We start from the raw sequence: 19,859 nt of genomic DNA, 5'->3' as shown, positions 1-19,859 counted from the left end.
TGAGGGCCTGAGAAAGGCTCCCTGTGGACAGACCTTCATGAAGGGAGGCAGAGGGCATTGGTCAAGTTTGGAGGGGCAGGCAGGAGCTAAGCCATTTCAGAAATGTCTGGGGTGGTCAGAGCATTCAGGGATGTGAACATGTGATTGGACGTAGAATTTGGGATCCTTCACATTCCAAGCATAAATATCGATGTGAATGAGAGACCAAGCTCCTGGGAAGTCTGTGGTGTGGAAATGCAAGGTGAAGTTGGTGAAGAGTGGAATTTGAACTGGGGATGCCAGAATTTCTGGGCCTTTTCTTCTCCCTCACACGGACTGACACTCATTTCTTCATGTCCTTTGTTCCTCAATGTTTACTGAGATGATATCAACATATACAGGGAATTTGGACTCAGAAGGCTCGTGCTCAGATGGTGGCAGAAGTTGAAATCAGGGCCTAGCTGAAGCCTTGTGATAAGTTGAAAAGACCCAGGTTTCCAAAAACAGCCACAATCGTAACAATGGCAATGACAGCCCATTCTTACCTTCTGGGCTCTTTGGTGTCAGTAAATTCAAAGCAGTTTCAACTGAAAATAGATTTGATGGTGAGAGCCAAGCCCGTAACATACCCTTCATCAGCTATGGTCTTGTCAATTACGCATCAGAAGTGGCTGCTGATGAGGGATTCCAGGGTGAAGCCCGAACAGGTGGCGAGGTGCCAGAGCCCAATCTGATTGGTGGAAGATACCCGTTCAGAGTCTGGGGAAATGTAACCTGCACAGAGAATCACCCAGCTCCAAGAGAACTTGGGCTTTCATCTGCAGTGAGGGAAGAGATGGGAGAGTTGTTTGGACACATGGAGCAACTCATTAATTAGAAGTTAAATGTCCCCCTTTCTCTGCCAGCTCTGAATACATTAAAGTGAAAACATGAGATCAAGCACATTCTTTTCGTTCTCTATTTCTAAACATTCCTTGCATTGAAACCCTCATGTTTCTTTATTCCATGACAGCCGGATCATGTCATGGGCAAACGTAATCGGGATGATGGCCAAAGCACCAGAACTTTTTCTAAAAGATGCTACTGAGGACTGGGGCTTGCTGTACAGGCTGGTATCTCCTGGGGCTCACGTCTGAGGTTTGGGCTTCCAGTGGAGTTTCCACCTAGAATGGATGCTAGCCTGCTGTGGGGAATGGACAGATGGGTGGGTGCACCGTCAGAAGGGGAACTAGCTGGAGTCGAGGCAGGTTTGTGGCACCTTCCACACCTCCTGATGGAGATGAGTAAAAGCATAAACGATAGCAGTCTTCCCCACCAGCGCCTTGGGGAGGGGAGTGATTGCATGTCTGTTTTTGGCCAGAGTGCTTGGAGACAGGCAGCCTAGACAGACGAAACCTTTATTATCAAAAGGCAGCACTTGGTAACCCTCCTTCCTCTATGACACCAGCCTCTCTGGTTGTCAGCTCATAAATGTGTCTCCCAGTTACAGAGCACATGACGTAATCCTGTCAGATCTCCTCACTGCCCGTTGGGACAGAGTTGGCAGTTCTAACGGTTATCCCTGTGGAGGGGGGAAGGCTAGGCTTGGGTCTGTCTCAGCTGTGCGAGTGACAAGGCAGCTTCACATCTCTGTGCTTCCTTCTCCTCATGGGCGAAGTCAGGAAAAGTGTCTCTCCTTCCTGTTCCTTCTGAAGGTGCTATGTGTGAAATGTACTTCAGAAGCTCAGATGGAAGGCACTGTGCTGCTTCTGGGATTCTACAGTGCTGGCTCAGAGGGTCTCAGTCCTGTCTGTAAAGAGGAACTGTGAATGCTGAGAATAGCATGGGCTGGGGGAGGGGGGCACGGGGAGGTGGGCACAGTTTCCCTTTCCTACCTGTTTGCCCAAAACTGTTGCCATCCCCCAACTTTCACCCCTAGAAGCAGGAGGGAGAGTGTGAGGATCCAAGCCTAAATTCCTCCTTATTACATTTCAGCCATCGTGGTTATCCCAGGCAACTACAGTCAGCTTCTCTCAACCCAAGGGACTCAATTCCAAAGAGGGAGCAGGGAGAGGTGAGATTCAAAATATTTAAACTTCAAGGGCACAAAGACTTAATGCTGGGTGAAGAGTCTGGGGGCCCCCTGCCGGGCCAGGCATTAACCCTTTAGGTGACACATCTTAGGGAGGTCACTGGGGGATCTCCCGGAGGACGAGCCAGCCTGTTGGGACTACAGGGGAGGTATCCGCAGGTGACGGTAATTTACCAACCAGTGTGGAAACATTTCAGTATTTTATCTTCCATCCATCCTGGTGCATGCTGGATGAATATCAGGTCTAGAAACAAGTCGTATTTTCTCTGAACGGTGGGAAAGATGGCCAAAGTCCAGGGGAGAGATACAGTCCCATGTAATTATCAAATCATGGAATTCCACCTTGAAAGAGTGAAAAATCCAATTAACCCCCTCATCCAGGGTGGGGAGCTGGTTCAATGTGTGGATTCTCATTTCCCCTCCCCTGTGAACCACTCAACCACTCTGGGATGATCGAAGGAGGGACAGACTTTCAAGGGGTGACAGACAATGTCCTTGAGGAAATGGAACTGGAAACCATGAGACCATCAGATGATTTGTAAGAAGGTGCCCCATGCTCATAACGGACAAAAAGAATCCCATGGAGTTTGGTCAAGGGAAGACGTCTCGGGGCTGGAGCTGCCATAGGGGGTTATAGGACATGGGATCTGTCCTGCTGTGCCTGTGTGGGCCACCAAGCCATCTACTGCAGTACCCTGGAAGGTCAGCTCCAGCTAGGGCCTGGATGGAGGCACAGAGCTGAGCCCCCACCTCCCTAACCTGGATTTCTGGCTTCACAGGGCAGCTGCCCGCGACCCCATTAATTTGGATGTTTGGCTCCAGATGTTCAATCCCAAGGACATCAAGTCAGCATTTTTCTCTGAAGACTGTAAAAGAACAGCTGCATCTTCTAGAAGACCATCCAAGTCCATGTCTTGTTAGGATGATTACAGTGTTTTACTTGTAGCATAGTTTCGCTGCTTGGACCCCTTTTTGAGATCCCATTCTCAGTCTCAAACACAGGGGGATGATATTTCAAGACACAGAATGTGAGAGCAGAGTGGGTTTTAGAGATCATGTGATCCAACGCATTCCTCTTAGAGAAGATGACATGGGGTGGGGGGCGGGAGGGAGGCAGGCAGAGAGGGCACTTCTCTGCAGTCATCTGCAGAGGTAATGGGAGAGATGTGACTGGACCTCCTTTTATAAATAATGTGTTTTTAGCCAGGTGCAGTGGCTCATGCTTGTAATCCCAGCACTTTGGGAGTTTGAGGCTGGTGGATCACTTGAGGTCAGGAGTTCGAGACCAGCCTGGCCAGCATGGCGAAACCCCATCTCTACTAAAAATAGAAAAAAATTAGCCAGATGTGGTGGCACGTGCCTGTAGTCCCAGCTACTCATGAGGCTGAGGCAGAAGAATCACTTGAACCCGGGTGGTAGAGTTTGCAGTGAGCCAAGATTGCACCACTGCACTCCAGCCTGGGTGACAGAGTGAGACTCTCTCTCAAAAATAAATAAATAAATAAATAAATAAATAAAGTGTTTTTGTGTTCAAAGCTAAAAAAGAATTGAAAAATACTTGTTTATTTAAAACATTTAGAAATCTATAAGAAATGTAAAAACTGCACCCCCAGAATGCCACCGCCTGCAGCTATCATTAATATTTCCTTTCGATGTTTTATGTTAATCATTTTCCATAGATAAGATTATACTCTATGTCTCATTTTTTCCTGCCTATTCAGTGAACCTTGTAACTCAACTAACTTCCCCACTTTTTGTAAACTCTTCATAAATATAATTTTAAACATCTGCTTAATATTCTATTATGCAAATACATTGTAGTTTACTTACCCACTCTCCTACTGTTTTATATTTAAGTTAGTTCTCATTTTTAAATTATAAATAATGCTGATATGAAAATTATTGTGCATAAAGGTCTTTTTTTTTTTAAATCCCTGTATTTCAGACTATTTCCTTTGGCTAGAGTCCCAGAAGCGGTATTTCTAGGCCAGAGGGTATGAACACATTAAAGATTGGCTATCTGTTACTAAATTGTTTTCCAAAAGTATTGTTCCAATTTATGTTCCCACTAGAAAGCTATGAAATTTTATTAAGTCTTTGCTAATGTGGTAGACATTTCTTGTTTCCGATGTATAAAATCTGTGTGTTCTAAGTTCATGTTCTGTGGCATAGCAGAGATTGTGATATGAATAAACAGTTTCATTTAACATTCTTCACAATTCAACAAAGCCCTGCATCCACCCTGGAAAGCAAAAGAATTGGCCCCATTTAGCCCAACTGACTAGGACAAGCCCCTCAAACTGATGCCCACCCTCCACACCAGGAGAGATGTATTGACGTAGTCCCAGGAATAAAAATAAAACAAAGTAGGTTGGTTTCCAGGGGGCATGCTGGGATGCAGGACCTGAGCAGCCAATTTGTGTGCACATGTGTGTGTGCAAGTGTGTGTGCATGTGTGTATTTGTGTGTTGGTGTATGTGCATGTTTGTGTGCATGTGCATGTGTGCATGCATGTAGGATGCATCTACATCCCTGGAGGAAATCCAGAGTGCCGGATCAATGGACTCAAAAACACACTTCTCACACTAGAAACTTCTCACACTAGAAAATGGGTGCCACACACCTCTCTGTGAAAATCACCAGAGGGCCTCATTTGGCTACTATGATGATCCACATCAGTCCATCTCATCCCTGCTGTTCAGAGGGCCTCCGAGTCCCAGGGGTGGGGTGTCCCAGAAAGGGTTGGGCCATTTCCGCCTTGCTTAAGGAGAAGGCCAGCTGAGATAATGAGCTCCTGCTCATTTTAGGGCAGTCTGTCAGGCAGGACTACCAGAATAAATGAGAGCGTCAATATCTGTCTTTGCAGGTGCATCAGTCAGGGCCATCAGTGTAGCTATTACTAGAATGCCCTTCTATCCCAGACTCCATAAGGCAGATGAGGACTTGGGAGATGAAGGGTTCTTATGAAAGTGGAAATCCCGTTTGGGCTTGTTTTCCTTATCATTAGAAAAGGGGTAAATGAGGCCTAGAAAGTTGAGTTTTCCCCTCAAAATGAACACCTACTCTATTTTGATTCTCTCGGTGCCCACTCAACCTTCTCTGCAAATGCAGAGTTGGGGAAGCACAAGGACATTCGAGATTTGAACTTGGCCCTTCTTACCTTCATTCACAGAGAGGTTGCGTGGCTCCTGGGAGACAGGTCACCCAAATTCTAGCCCTCACTCTTAACAACCTGTGTGGTTCCAGGTGAGTCGTAAATGCCCCTGGGTCATGCTCTTTTAACCTGTGAAACAGAAGGCTGGATGAGGTAAACCCTGGACCTTTTCTTTTCTTTTTTTTTGGTTTTATAAATTTGAGACATGATAAAAATCAGATATGCCTAAGTAAGTGATACTTGGCTAGGAGGGAGCAGATGCTCTGAAGCTAGGAGGCCAAAGGAGAAGCCCTATTCTTTTCATTCATGTGGTCAGGAGGCTCCTGGGTTTCCCATAGCATCCAAAGATGGGAGAGTTAAAGGTGAACAACAGGTGAGTTAGAACGCGCTCTAGTTTACTCAATTCCTAAAAATCTCAGAAGTGAGGAAATAAGCCACAATTGGAGTAGCTGAGTAACTGACTCCAATTTTGAAGAAGTTCTTGAAGTGCGTGAGTGACTTATCTAATGTCAGCTTCATTTATGGGCCACGGAAAAAATACTCAGACCATTGTGTGGCAGGAGGGCATGCTATCCCTTTCAAATGAGCCAACTTCTGTCTGGGCTGAGAATTAGTCATTGGAAGGATGCAGAAATCCTTCTCTGTGAAGAGGTTCATGGATCTGAAAAGTTCTTTTAACCCTGCAGTGTAAGCCTGGAGACACTTGGACTCTGACTTTGTCAGGCAGTCTGTCCCTTTGCAAAATGGGATTTCTGCCTGCACTGAGGCCACATTGAGTCATTGTCACTGCCCTGCTGCTCAAATGGTGCTTTCCAAGCCAGGGGGCCACAAACTCATCGTATGGCTTTAAGTCAATGTAGTGGGCTGTGGCCAACCTTCTTTTAAATGGAATAGAGTAAGAAAGAAAAATATCTGAGTGCATTACAGGTAGCAAGGGGAAGACTTGTTTTCCTGGGTTTCATCCTGGTTTTCAATGTGAGTAAGATTTCCTGGGTAGGCCTCCAGCGAAACAATTTTTAAAACTGCCCTAAAGGATGGGGAACCTGAAGTCTAAGGAATCCAGATGCTCTCTGCACATCCTCACAATGTATGTTTTGTGCCACATGGGTATGTGTAGTGAAAACCAGAAATACCACCTGGCTCTGCAAGTGATGGGCTGTGGGACCTGTGGGGCATCCACTCAGCCCAGCGTCCCTGGCTTTGCAGCCTGGGCTCCAGATTGAGGAGGCCTGCTAAGCCGACACCTCCTCCCCTGGGAGGACCGAGAGCTGTCACCCATCTTTCCAAGGCTGGCAGTAACCAGGACTCTCCATTTCCTGTGGCCCCTGCTCCTCTGACTGTTTTTCTTGAAGACCAGGGAAGTTGAACCAAGGAAGAGTGAGATCAGAGAGAAAAGGGGATGGCTGGCTCAGCATCTCGTGGTGAGTCCAATGTAGCAGGTATGGAATCACAGTTCCTAGGATTTCCTAAGTAAGAGCAGCTGTAGGCACAGCCTAGTCCTGCCTCATCAGTGTACAAGGAACCCAAAACTCGGCATTGCGGTAGCCCATTTCAAACCCAGACTTTTAATCACCAAGGCCCAGGCTCCACTGCCCTGCCTCCCGATTTCAGCCAAGCTGGGAGTACCATGTTTCAGCAAACTGCTTCTGAGAGCTATGGAGTAGAAAACATACATCCCTCAGAAGAGAATGTGTCCAACACACACACACATGCATACATGCACACACACACACACACACATACACACACACACATACCCTCAGCTGCCCTCTCTTATTATTTTGCTGAAACAATGGATCCCCTTGATGTTATTTTAAAGTAGAACGTCAGACTCAGATCCTTCACAACAAGGAGGACCAGCCCTGGGGAAGCCAGTGGGAACACTGGGGTGACAGGAAGGCAGTAGTACCCCACCCTGTGCAGTACTCCCCCTGAAGCTTCGTCTTTCCACCCTCTATACCTTCTGGTCTCCTGGGCCACAGGGATAATAATAGTAGTAGTAGGCATCAGAATAATAATCACAACCTACACCAGCTTGGCACTGTTCTAAGAACTTTACATGAATTATCTCAATCTCTATACCCCTATGAGGTGGCGCTGTTACTATCACCCCCTTTAACAGGGGACAAAACATGGGAAAGTTAAATAACATGATCATATTGCTCATTAGGATGCCAATCAAGCAGTCTTACTTGGGAGTCCATTCTTAATCACTACCCTGTAGTGTGTGGCCTCCATGTCACCTGGTGCACTGCCAGGTCCATGTAACAGGGACACTGTGACACCAGCAAGCCGTGTTGGTTGTGTGGCCATCCTGTTCTGCCACCCAGTGGGAGGCCACCTGCCCACTGCCCCCTGGCTCTGGGCCTGTGAGGGCTGGTTGGTGACAGTGGTGGAGGCTGCGCACCAGCCTTCTCCTCTGCCTCACAAAGGCTAAGGGGGCTGCATATCGTTTTGGTTGTGGTTTGAGTGATGAAGTCACTGGGGGGAGTCCCCCATAGTCTAGGAAAAGGGGTCTTTGGAAAGCTTTCTTGGGACATTTCCTGGAGTTGTGTTGGGCGGGCCCATCAGAGCTGGTGGCATTGTGTGTAGCCTCACATCAGCCTCCTGGAGGGTTAGTAAGGTTCAGCCTTCTCATGGAGCTATTTAGGGTCAAGGCCTCTGGGTTAATTCCTCAATGGGCTCTGACCCATCCTGTGTTATGGAGGTGCTTGGGGACCCGTGGAAACAAAAGAAGTGAAAGAAAGAAAGCCTTGTCTCCTGGCCCACCACAGAGCCCAGGTGAATATCTGCTCCCCAGAACAGCAGGGCCAACTACAGACCCGTTATCCGGCTCTGACCTTCCCTGTTGCACTTCCTGAGTCCCGCCCCTACTGAATGGAGCATGTCTGTTGCAGACTCTCCTGGCTGCCCTGGGGACTGAGAAGGGGTTTACTTGGAAGGAGGACAGGACACCAAAAGTCGGCAAGTGGGTCCAGATGGCCACTTTCTCCCTCCTGATCCCTCAGGTCCTGTCCCCGAAGTAAGCCCCCAAATGCCCTCTTCCCTGCTCTCTGCCTCTTCCCTCCCACCCCACAAAGTGAAGCCACAAACCTGCATTTTGGAGTCCGCAGGCAGATTCCTCTGTCATCACTTCCCATGGGGTGGGAGGAGGTTGGAGAGAGAGAGTGGAGGAAAAGCCAGGCCAGGAAGGGAAAAAAAAGTCCCAATTTAAACCCAGGCCAATTTGGGAATTCAGCTGACACAGCAAGCAAACGCGATCAGTAAGAAGTGAGAGGGAGATGATTTATGTTTTGTGCCTGAGGATCCACGGAAGACTTTCAGGTGTCATCAGGGTTACCCCGTGATCTTTAGCAGCAATTAGGGCCCCCTCCCGTTACCTGCCTGCCTGGTTTTAGGCTCACGCTGCCAGCTCCTCCCCTGAGTAGGGGAAATCTTAAAAGCCTCTCTCCCTTGCCTGACTTCTCTTTTTCAACTTTCACATTTGGATGAAAATGGGACACTGGCATTCTTTAGAGAGAACATGATTGAGTGCTGGCTCCTGAGGGGGCAGTGCATTGCCAGCATCCATGCCCTTCCCTGCTGCTTTTGTGGACCAGGCATAGCAGGCGTCAGGGCCTCTGAGTCTGGGGCCGGGACCTGGGCTCTGTGTAGTGGGAGAGATCATCTTCTCTCATCTTCCTGCTCCAAGCACTGCCTCCTGGGATGTTGGCATGGAAGTGGCTGCCCAGCCTGCCCTCTCTGGCTCTGAACCACACAGAGAGCCAAGGCAATGCAGCTGGCCAAGAAGAGATGCTTGAGGTTAGCTGTGGGGGAAGAGAGATCCAGTTATTACGCATTTGCATGGTGGCGGTGCGTCAGCTGAGTGTTTTGTGTTTTGTTAATGAGCTCTTCAACACTAGCTCTCTGGATTGGGGGTCAATGGGTGGGCGTGCTCAGCACAAGAAATGAAACAACTGGGTCAAGGACACGCAGTTTCTGTCCATGCTGGAGGTGGCGTTCCCAGCCAGACCTGTCTCATGCAAAGTGATGGTGCTGTGGTAATAATGTAGGAGGTGTTTCTCCTGATCCTCGGATGCCTCCTTGTTAAACCTGATTGATCCGATGGACTGAGCGGCTCGGGAGCAGCCTGTCCTTTGCTCTGCATACCCTGTGATGGCAGTGGCCAGTGCTACAAGGTGAGAAAGCAGGCTTTGAGAGGGGAGCTGTGTTTTTGGCAGGGGGTATTTCCTGCAATAAGATGATTAGCCAGCTGCCCCTCCCATAGTGGCAGCCTGCAGCAGCACACTGCCCCTCTCCCCTGTGTGTATGTTGGACTAATTAATAACAGGAAAAGGCAAAGAGATGTTCTCCAAGGCATTTAGAACTTGGACTTGAGTATCTTAAAGCTCTTTCTCCACCTTTACAATGGAGCCCCTGTGCCTCGCTAGGGTGGCTTCCTCATGTTAGGTGAGTGCCCCAAGTTACTTTTTATAGCTTTCTGTCTCCCCGCCTACCGTCAGGGTGTCTGGCACCTGTCACTTCTCACTGTTGTCACTGATCCTGTCTGATGCAGCTCTCCTGCTGCCACTTAATTTGTTCTTTTTAATTTGCTACGGGCTTGGAAACAGATACTCAAGCTTATTAGACTTGTGTATAAAATAAGAATAAAGAGGTGTTGCATGATTACTCTAGGGACCTGCTGAGTCAAGTGCATTCGCTTTGGTATGTAGGCTTGAGATTTCCATTTTACCCTTTCCCGGGTCATTTCTGGTATTTTCTAGCACCTGGCTGGGCTCTCGACTGGGGAATCTAAGGCCAGCTGAAGTGCAGTCAGGCAAAGTGACATGAACCATGACAAGGACTGCTTACTTTTATACCCATCGATACTATATTCTGAAGCCTCTCCAGCCTCCCCCTCTTTTGCTTATCTGAGAGATGCCAAGTGCCTTCTGGGGAATTGGCTTTTTGCTGAAAATTGCTCTTGGCAATTTGCAGGGACTTAGAGCTGGTTCAGGTGTTTGAAAGATCCACTCGTCTAAGCACAGGGATAGAGCCAGTTTATTATGAAAAGTTTTATCCATCTTCACTCCTCAGCTGTCCCCAAGTTCAGTTCTTCCCCTCCTCCCCAGTATGGCCACACAATCTCTGAGCCCTTCTTTATTGGCTTAGAGGGCCCTTTCCCGTCCTCTGAATTCTCCACTTATGCCCCGTCCTGATTAAGTTCCACTTCACCATGAAGTCTTCCCTCATCCTACCGGACTTCCTCTAACCTTATGCGTCTGTTCAGCAGTTCACTGATTTGCTCCACAAGTATTCATGAAGCTTTTGGTACTGTATCACATGCTGATTGTTTCTGGATTTCATGTGTGTGTCTCACCTTCCCAACCTTCATGAGCAAAGGTTCTCAGCCTGGGCTTCACATTAGAACCACCTAGGGAGCTTTTAAAACTCTGATGCTCAGGCTGCAACCTAGTCCCATTAAATCAGACACTGGAAGCGCATTTTTTTAACTTTGCCTTTTGAGATAATCGTGAATTTGCATGCAATTGCAATAAATTGTACAGAGGGGTTCCTGTACCCTTCACTCAGTTCTCCCCTCCACGTGGCATCATTTTGCATAACTATAGTACAATATCACAAATGGAAAATTGACTGGTACAACCCACCAAGCTTATCCATTCAGATTTCACCAGTTTTTTGCATTGGCGAGTGTGTATTTAGTCTTGTGCAATTTTATCACATGTGTAGATATGTGCCAGCCAAAGGTCTCTCCCTTTTTCACAGGCCCTAGAGACCTGATCTGAGATCGTGCATGTCAGGTCGCTGGAGTCCTCTTCTGGCCTGCTTGCACAGATAGCTATTTGCAGGGCTCGGGAATGAAATTGAAAATAGACCAAACAATGTGACAGTTTTCTCCTGCTATTTTTTCTTCCACGAACAGAATGTTCAGCATTATTTTTTTCTCTTTGTGCAATATTGCAAGTGAGAAATAATCTGATTGGAATGCTGGCTTATGCTGTTTATGAGCCTGCAGTCTCCCACAAGCTGTGCGCAGGGAGCTTTCCCGAGGAGGACATCTAGGGACTTGCAAGATGAAAGGTTTGGGGAGTAGCTGTGGCCACACCCAAAACGCTGGTGAGGCTAGGAAGTAAATGCGTGGTATGCATACGGATGGTACCCCTGGAGGCTTCTCTTTCCTGGGAGTGTTCTCATGTGTTTTGCCTGAAAACTATCAAGGAGTGGCCTGGCCCATTCACACAGGGCCTGGGAAAGAAGGGTGAGCGTGTCTGAGGCTGGGGTACATTATGTCACAGATTTTGTCTGCTGAATAGCTGGGAGGAGAGACGAGCACCTTGAACTACCTGCTTGATTTTGTCAAACATATGGAATTTGAGGCCTAAGATGGACTGGCTGTAGAGAACACAAGAGTCTGGGTGACAGGTAGGAGACAGGACAAAAGGATACTCTTCTGCATCCTCCTAGGGACTCCTTCCTAATCTCAACAGAGAGGACAGGAAAATATAATTGTCAGTGTCACATGGGAACTTAGAGAAAGTGGAGTCCTTTACTTCCTGGGAGACCTTAATCTGAGGATGTTAATTCCTTTTTTTAAGAAACACGTATGGATCATTCACTCTGTGCCTGGTATGAAGCTTGGTTCTGGGGCACAAAGGTAACAAATACACAGACAGACTAGGTAGGCATTTGTCTGTTTAGATGTGGATGAATTTTATTTTATTTTTTCTCCGGGGGTAGGAGGTGGACTGGCGTGGGGTAAGGGAGGAAGTTGATTATTTTGATTTATTCCAACTTACAAATGCCCAGAAGATGTAGGTATGGGACCATCTGATCACAAAGGTCACATTCCTCCCCTTTCATGCCCATGAAAGTATTCTAGATCTCGATTGGATTGTTAGTTACACAGGTGAAGGCATTTGTCAAAAACTCATCAAAGTGTGCACTGAAGATCTGCACATTTCATTGCGTGTACATCTTACCTTAAAAAAATCACACTCCAAACAGAAATGGAAAAGAAGCAGTGAAGCCCCAGTTAAGAGCAGTCTACTTTCATCAGGAATAAAACCTGATTTTGAAATTTCATCCTAACAACATTTTCAGATGCCAGAACCCACTACATTGAATATACCTGTGGCCCTGCAGCTCTGCCCTCCAAAGCACAGATGTGTGACCTTCAGCAAACTCACTGTAGCCCTGCCCAGGTGTGCCTGCTTCTGCTTCTGGAACACTCTTCCCAGACTGCACTAGGACCAGTGTGGTCCCGCCTCCCCCATGAAGCCTCTCTTGATTTCTCCAGTCAGCCGAAGTGATCTTTCCTTTTTTTGTTTCACCTGCATTGACTGCCTTAATATAACGTGACTCTTATTATTCAGAGTCTTTCATTCACATTTACTAAATAAGCCAGCACATATAAAGAGCGTGGAACAGTGCTTGGCACAAAATAAATGCTGAAGAAGTGATCATGACTATTTTTGTTGTTGCTATGTTTTATGCTTATGATCAGTCCCTCTAAGGCCTGTGTCTTTGACTGACATACAAGCTGATATGTCTTGCAGGGACTGGGTTGTGTCCCTTTGGTGACCAGTGTGATGCTGAGCCCTTGCGCCCATTTGAATCCATTTGAATCTGCAGAACTGTGTGTAAATACTCCAGGCAAACTTGAAGCCCGTGGGTGTAATAGAGACGTGACTGAGGGAAATTCTAGCAGGGACCTCTGTACTTTAATGCAGCACCAATCAGATGGCATGGGATGGGAGGGGATGCCCAGGATTCTAAAACCCTTATCCAGCCCTGTGGTTGAGAGGCCTTGAGAAAAACCTGGTGCCAGGGCCAGCTGAGGAGTGGAGGTGGCAGCCACAAAGGCCATCTTTGTGGACAGCCTTTAGAATCTCCTGTGGGTGTCCTGAGGTGGGGTAATAAGATGCCACTTGATGACAACAGCCCTCCCTTTCAAAGTGACACTTGGCAAAGGGGCATCATGACAATGACACCTGCTCATCAGCCCTGTCCACCTCGAGCTGGCGAGGGCTGGGCCACTGTGCTCATTAGGTCGGCATCTGTCCCCACCAGCCTGCCGGCAGCTGATGCTCATTAATCCTGGAGCCCTGAGCCTATTGGGCCGAAAGAGGCTGAGCTTTTAGAGCCATTTATGGCAATGGCCTCAGTGAGTGCTGCTAGATTGATTTATAATTGGGCTGAGGGGCCTCCCTGCGTCCCTGGAGCCCAGGCTCTTAAACTGGGCCAGCCCAGGAGGGTGGTTTTGGCTCACTGGCTTCATGAAAAGGAGAAACGCAGAGCTGGGGTTCCCGTCAGACCGGGCATGGACGGCATCTCCACAGAGCTGACTCCCGCACACCCAGGGCCCTCCTGGCTTGGCTGCCTTGGATGTGTGGTTCCTTGTTGCGACACGAATAGAACCTGTGATAGTGAGGACATGGGCTATTCAGGAGAGCGGGACACTCAGCAGGGTCTTCCTGGCAGGCTTTGGGATCAGTCCTCTGAAGTCACAACAGTTTCACAGGAGAATATCAATAATGAAAATGGCAGGTTATATTTATTTTCTGCTTAGCATTGATCCAAAGGTTTCAAATGGATCATCTCATTCCATGAAGCAAGAACTATTATCAGGCGTCTATGGCAGATAAGGAAACTGAGACACCAAGGGTTCCATAACTTGCTCAGGGACACACCATGCTAGAGGCACAGCGTGGCTTTGGACTAGGTGGCTTAGCTTGGGGCTTTGGTGCCTTTGCTTTCTACTGCTCCAGGCATGGGACTTGGCATTCCCAGCCTAAGCAGTGGGTCTGATGGGTTGTCAGAGATCCTGGGAGCCTCCATAGTGAGATGGCAAAGCCTGGGGTGATGGAAGAGAAGGTGACTGGCAGTCAGGAGACTGGAATTCCAATTTCCTTCCGGTTGCTAAGCAGCTGTGTGACTTTAGGTATATCACCTTTCTCCCCTGTGCCCTTCGTCAAATAGGCATACTGTCCTTAGCTATTGCTTTTAAATAAGGATATCAACCTGAAATACATATTAAAACACTGAGAAAATAATTAATAATGATGACCATGATGGCCTTTGGCCCAGTAGGAAGGCCCCCAGCATAGGTCAAGAGCTTGAAGGAGAGCATCATATTTCAGGTGGTAGAGACAGTGGGCATTTGACAGTCTAGGAGCTGCTTCATCCTTTGCCAGAATGAATCCCTGGTTCTCTCTGTTCTTGTCTTTCTGTATCCTGTGGAATTTCCTGGATTTGGGGGAAGCTGATATCTGCTCACCTCTTTGGGTCTTTTCTTTCTCCCAGCATGGGGCTCTCATGAGTGTGTGGTAAATAAAGCACCTAATCCTACCTCATTCCCCCAATTCTTCCTACTACCTGCTCTCCACTTGCCCTTGTGTCTGTTTCTCTCCTTCTGCTGGTTCACTATCATCAAAGACGCATCTCAGTATCCAAACTGTGAACCCAACTGTCTTCATTGCTGCAGGTTTCAGATTAGCTCGAGTGACGGTGGTGCTTTTTACAGCAACAGAAGCTGCTGATGCATAATTCAACAAACAATCCAGAATTGCATCAGAATCCAAATTACTCACATCAGAAGGATCTTGATGTTAAACACTGTCTCTTAAAAACCAACTTCATTCATGCTGGTTCCTGCGCTTTTATCTTCTAGTATTTGTAAAATTTTGGGGAAGGCTGAGATGCGGAGAAGGCTTTTAGCCTAAAATGGATGGCTGGGTATCCCTGCAGAGAATGCGGGTGGTGTGATGTCCCCAGCCCCCATCCCTGTGCCAGCTGTCAGAGTGGCAGGTGTCTGGGTCTGGATCTTGGGGCAGGATTTCCCTAGGCCCCAGGCAGGTGTGGGGCAGGGCCGCCCCTGGAGGCTCTATTTCCCACACCAAGGCAGGGTCTTTCCCTAAAGAAACGAGCATCCTGCTTCACTCTGGAGAGGGTGCACTGCACCGTGGTTAAGAGTGCACAGGCTTTGGGAGAAGCCTCCTGAGGTTCAAAGTCTGGCCCTGCTGGCCAGGCGCGGTGGCTCACACCTGTAATCCCAGCACACTGGGAGACTGAGGCAGGTGGATCACTTGAGGCCAAGAGTTTGAAACCAGCCTCATCTCATGGTGAAGCCCCGTCCTCTACCAAAAATACAAAAAATTAGTCGGCCATGGTTGCACACACCTGTAATCCCAGCTACTCAGGAGGCTGAGGCATGAGAATTGCTTGAACCTGGGAGGCGGAGGTTGTAGCAAACTGAGATTGTGCCACTGCACTCCATACTTGGTGATAGGGGTTGACTGTCTCAAAAACAAACAAAAAAAATAAAAAACCCAAAACCCAAGTCCAGCCCTGCCACTAATCAGTTGTTCGACCTTGGACATGCTACTTAACCTCTCTGTGGCTTAGCTTCCTTATCTATCAAGTGTGGATAAAAATAGTGCTTATCTTACAGTGCTGTTGTGAAAATTAGAGTTAATTTATATGAGTGCTACATATGTGTTGGCTATTCTTCATCTCTTTCCGAAACTTCCATAGATACCTAGGGAACCTGCAGCTCTCCCCATTCCCTTTATGAACTCCCCAATTTTCAAAGCATGGCATACTCTTCAGTATCTGTACTGAGTCTCCAGAGTCCTTTCTGCCCATCCATTGTGGGGATATCCCAGGGGGCTGGCTGAAGGCTTTCTCTTGATGTGATCACTTTGACCACAGCTCCTCATCTCTAGGGTACATTTGCCTTACCCCTACTTTTGTTCAGCTGTGTGTCCCAGGAAGTCCCCAGGCAACATCACTGTCTATCTCCAGTGAGGCTTAAAGGACCAGAAATTTATATCTCACCAAACTATGGCAGCTCTTGGGATACCAGTTGCCCATATTTTGTGAGAAAACAAAATACCCCCAAACAGTGAAAGCTTTCTGTGTCTTGAACATGTGTACAGGCATAGGTATAATGGGAGAAACTCTAATTTGGAATCAGGCTGCTAACTGGCTTCATCATTTGTTTCCCGGCCATGGGGATCCTGGTCATTCCTTCTAGAGCAAGTGGTCATGGATTGCACTTGCATCTGGACTTCTTGCTTTTTCTGGGCGGCAAAGAAAATCAAGTAATACTCTCCCCTCTCTCCAAGAGGCTAATTGAGGCTCCCAGCTTCCAGGCTGTTTGCCTATCAGAGGCTGCCTGCATGGGTGCCAGGGTTTAACTGGCTGCTGCTTCCCCCTGGTTCTGCCCAGCAGCATGTCAGGGGCCACATGGCCAGACATGAGATGCACAGGTGGGACGCACGTGCCAGCCTGCCTGCAATACTTCAAATAGGACTTTGTGCCCCCACTCAGTGCTGCATCATCAAATTTATCTGGCCGACACCCTCTCTCAGCAGGACTCTCTCTGGGGTCCCTCCCAAGGTTTCCATTGATTTCTTCCTCTCACAGGGCCTCAGACTCTAAAGAAAGTGCTTATTCATCTTGTCCCCACTCCTCATCTTCCTTTCTGCCTGAATGGTCACCAGCCAGCCCCTTGTCCTCAGCCATGCCAACTAGCCCCCATAAAACCCATGGTCCTGTCATCCTGCAACAGCCTCAAACCAGTGATTTCTAGGAGCCTGGAGGGCAGGCTGTGACTTCCACTCCAGTCCAGACCTACACCTGAATGCCTAATTGAGTGTTTCCCCCATTATTTCCAGGTGTGAAAAGTGGGTTATTTGGCCAATGGCTCCCCTAGCTGTTTATCAGCAGCTGTGGTGGCTACCCATTTGCTGTAAGGCTGCAGAGAGATGCAGCTTCACTTTCGCTGGAGTGTGCAGCCACACCTGCCCCGGAAAGGCAGGACTACATCTGCATGTGATGAGGCCCAGGATCCCTGAAGGCTGAGAATCCCCAGGGCTGGTCCCACGGCTCACCTGACTGGTGGATCAGAGCCACAGATGGCCTCAGAGAATTCTGGCGAAGCAGAGAGATTTTTTTAGTGCGGGAGGAAGGGCAGGAGCTCAGAGCAGGACTGCACATGCAGTGGGTGGACCAGCAGCTTCCTCATGACTAGAATCCCAGGGCAAGGACAGTGGGAAAAAGTGGGGAAAGGTTCTTCATAGATTCTCATGATTTCTTCCTGGGTCATTCATGGCCCTGGCCTCACATTAACTCAGTTTTAATTGCATGTTGCGTGCGATGTGACTTCTAAAAGATGGCTAATCTTAGCCCAGAGAGGTGAAGGAATTTACCCAACATCACACAGTAGGTTAACAACAGAGCAGAAGTGAAAACCCAGTTTTCCTTTCTTTTAAAGCAGTATTTGCACTTCTGACAGCTAGAATCACAGACTCAGACAACAGGGACACCTAGGGTCAGAGAGGTGAAGTGACTTGCCCAAAGTCATATAGCCTATTTGTGGCAGAGCTGGGACTAGAACCCAGGTTCCTAACTCTTAATCTAGTGTTTGTTTCACTTCTCACTCCTGATCACATTCTCTGGTCCCTTCACCTGCTCCCCTCATTAGCTAGGGAGGAGGGACCCTCCTAGGGACTGGCATCTGCTGGTGCCATCTGCACCAAATCGGCTTGGGTGTCTCGAGGGGGTAGGACAGAGGCAGCTCTACTGGCTGGGCCCCGCTTCAGAGGAAACTCGGCTCCATCCCGGCCCAGGGGCTGTATGCAAGAGCAAGCTTTGCATGAGCACAAACTGTTCCCTTCCCCCTCTCCCATGTATCCTGGGTCTTGGCCAGGGCTTGGAGAAAAAAAGAAATCTGGATGGCTGCTAGCCAGGCAAACTCCCAGGCTGTCAGAGGATTGGGGAAGGTCAGGCAGAGATGCCAGTTAATACGAAAAAAAAAAAAAAAAAGAGGGTGGGGTGCAAATTAGTGGTCTGTGTCTCAATACCACTGTGCCTGGAATCTCTAATAAGTCTTGTCGTAAGTTGGCAGAAAAGCCTGGATTGTTACACAGCCCCGCTTCTGAGTCAAGCCTGGGCTCTGCTGCCATGGTCTGAAGATGGCTTAGTGTCCTGGTGCCGCCCCGCTCTGCTAGTTTCATCCAGGCTGAACTTCAAGCCTCTAAATGTCCAGTTTCTCTCTTACATGGAATCAGGGGCCTCTTCTGTGGATTCCCACCATCCTCTCCACTTCCCTTGCCATGTCTACTTACTCTTTTGTCTCTCCTCCTAGCCTAGGAGTTTCTAGAGAGCCGGGACTATGTCTTGCTGCACTCTGCATTCTCAGTGCTTAGCACAGTGTTGTGTAGTGTCATGCTTACTAAATATTTCTCAGATGAATGAATGAATGAATGTTTAGCTAACAAAAGTAGGACTTGAGTGATGAGCTTGTTGGGAGGAAGGGTGCTCCCATGATAATCAGCCATGCCCAAATCCAGGTTCATATGTGGGGCTGTTTGCTCTTGACTCCTTAGTTTGACACCCAGGTTAAAGCCAATACAGCCTCTCTGGATCATGGGTTCTTGAGGGTACCATGATCAAGGTACCCATTCACTGCCTTAGGTGCTGGGCTGATAATCAGATGAGAGACACAGTCTGGCAGGGGAGTGGGATTTATCACCCTCTGTAGGAGCCTAGAATGGGGAGTGGGAGAGTCTTCTTGGGTGGGTGGGGCTGGGGTCAGTGGTGGTGGTGGTGGGGGGGGGTGTTGGGGGTCAATGTTGCTGATAGAGAAGGTAAGCATGAGCTAGGCCTTGGAGGATAAGTGAACATTTCCAGCGAAAAGGATGAGGAACAGCATGAGAAAATTCGGAGGAGGAAACTGACAATTGGTATAATAAAACTGTAATAGTTTTATTTGGCTGGGGCATGGGGTAGGGTGGGATGGGGTAAGGCGTGGCTGCAGAGGAAGCTGTGAAGCGCCTTCGTGCCAACCGGAGGAGGTCCTCTGCTGCAGGGCCTGGGTGCTCAGATGGACACAGGGAGGCGGCATCTCCTAGGGCTCCTGGGTTTTGTGAATGATCACGCCTGTTTTGTCTCCTGGCCAGCCTGGGGCTCAGCAGGACTCCAGTGTCTGTGTCTACTCCCTGGTTTGAGATGCCTGGACCTGCACAATGACCAGGATGGCTGTGGCTCACAGGATTGCTGTAGCCTCCAACAGCGGCCCATCCTCCCCAGGACAACCTAGGCGAGGCTGAAGCCTGGCTGTTGCCACAGTAACTGTGAAACAGGGCATACAGCAATGCGCGATGCTCAGCTCTGCGCCACACCTCACTGTAGAAGAGCACTGAGGCCAGACAGTGACTGCCAGAGCCTCTGGGGCACTCGGCTACCTGCCTGGAGCATCACCTGCCAGGGGTGAGCCTCCTGCCAGCTTGGAGTATCATGACTGTGAACCCAGGAGACCTGGGAAACTCAGGGAGTGGCAGCCCTGGAAAGATTGTGAGGACAGATTGGGAGAAACAGTGTCCGCACTTTTCAGAGAGTGAGTCTGAAAGACAGGCTGGGGCCTCCTGATAGCAGGTGCACATTTACAGACTACAAGAAGGTTAGTTAGCTTTGTTCCCTCCATGATGCCCTTCCATTCCTTCATTTCTTCATATATACTCTTGTTAATGTAATAAATATTTATCGAGGGCCCATCATGCCCTTGGCACATAGATGCTGCCCTCCAGGAACTTATGTTCTAGTAGGACAGAAATATCAATGAGTAATTCCCATGCACACCAATGTGTGCTT

The 19,859-nt window shown here is 48.5% G+C and overlaps 1 protein-coding gene and 2 long non-coding RNA genes across 12 annotated transcripts in view, besides 2 other annotated features; 2 read left to right on the top strand and 1 right to left on the bottom strand.

Annotated features, from left to right (window-relative positions):
• The window catches only part of PLXNA4 (plexin A4), a 525,349-nt gene that overhangs the window by 236,672 nt on the left and 268,818 nt on the right, over nt 1–19,859 (top strand). The gene's annotated exons all lie outside the window — the stretch shown is intronic.
• Nucleotides 506–706: a silencer, noted in NCBI's record as "fragment chr7:132096070-132096270 (GRCh37/hg19 assembly coordinates)". NCBI's record gives its function as "represses an EF-1alpha promoter that drives an FKBP-Casp9 reporter gene in an ReSE screen in phorbol 12-myristate 13-acetate-treated (for megakaryocytic differentiation) K562 erythroleukemia cells {active_cell/tissue: K562(+PMA)}" and the evidence as "EXISTENCE:reporter gene assay evidence [ECO:0000049][PMID:32094911]".
• Nucleotides 1,333–1,627: an enhancer, noted in NCBI's record as "tiled region #6221; K562 Activating DNase unmatched - State 20:ReprD". NCBI's record gives its function as "activates a minimal TATA promoter and a strong SV40 promoter by Sharpr-MPRA in K562 cells {active_cell/tissue: K562}" and the evidence as "EXISTENCE:reporter gene assay evidence [ECO:0000049][PMID:27701403]".
• LOC102724906 (uncharacterized) lies at nt 1,581–2,841 on the top strand. The gene is made up of 3 exons (XR_927982.2): nt 1,581–1,673; nt 1,954–2,032; nt 2,830–2,841. It is a non-coding gene; the product is annotated as an uncharacterized LOC102724906 (long non-coding RNA).
• LOC105375511 (uncharacterized) lies at nt 1,668–8,371 on the bottom strand. The gene is made up of 4 exons (XR_927983.3): nt 8,298–8,371; nt 5,211–5,333; nt 2,229–2,392; nt 1,668–1,768 (listed from the first exon to the last, which is right to left on the bottom strand). It is a non-coding gene; the product is annotated as an uncharacterized LOC105375511 (long non-coding RNA).

Source organism: Homo sapiens, chromosome 7, assembly GCF_000001405.40.
Source record: "Homo sapiens chromosome 7, GRCh38.p14 Primary Assembly".
Taxonomy (NCBI): domain Eukaryota; kingdom Metazoa; phylum Chordata; class Mammalia; order Primates; family Hominidae; genus Homo; species Homo sapiens.
The sequence above is the reverse complement of the archived record's forward strand: the minus strand, read 5'-3'. Positions and strand labels throughout refer to the sequence as shown.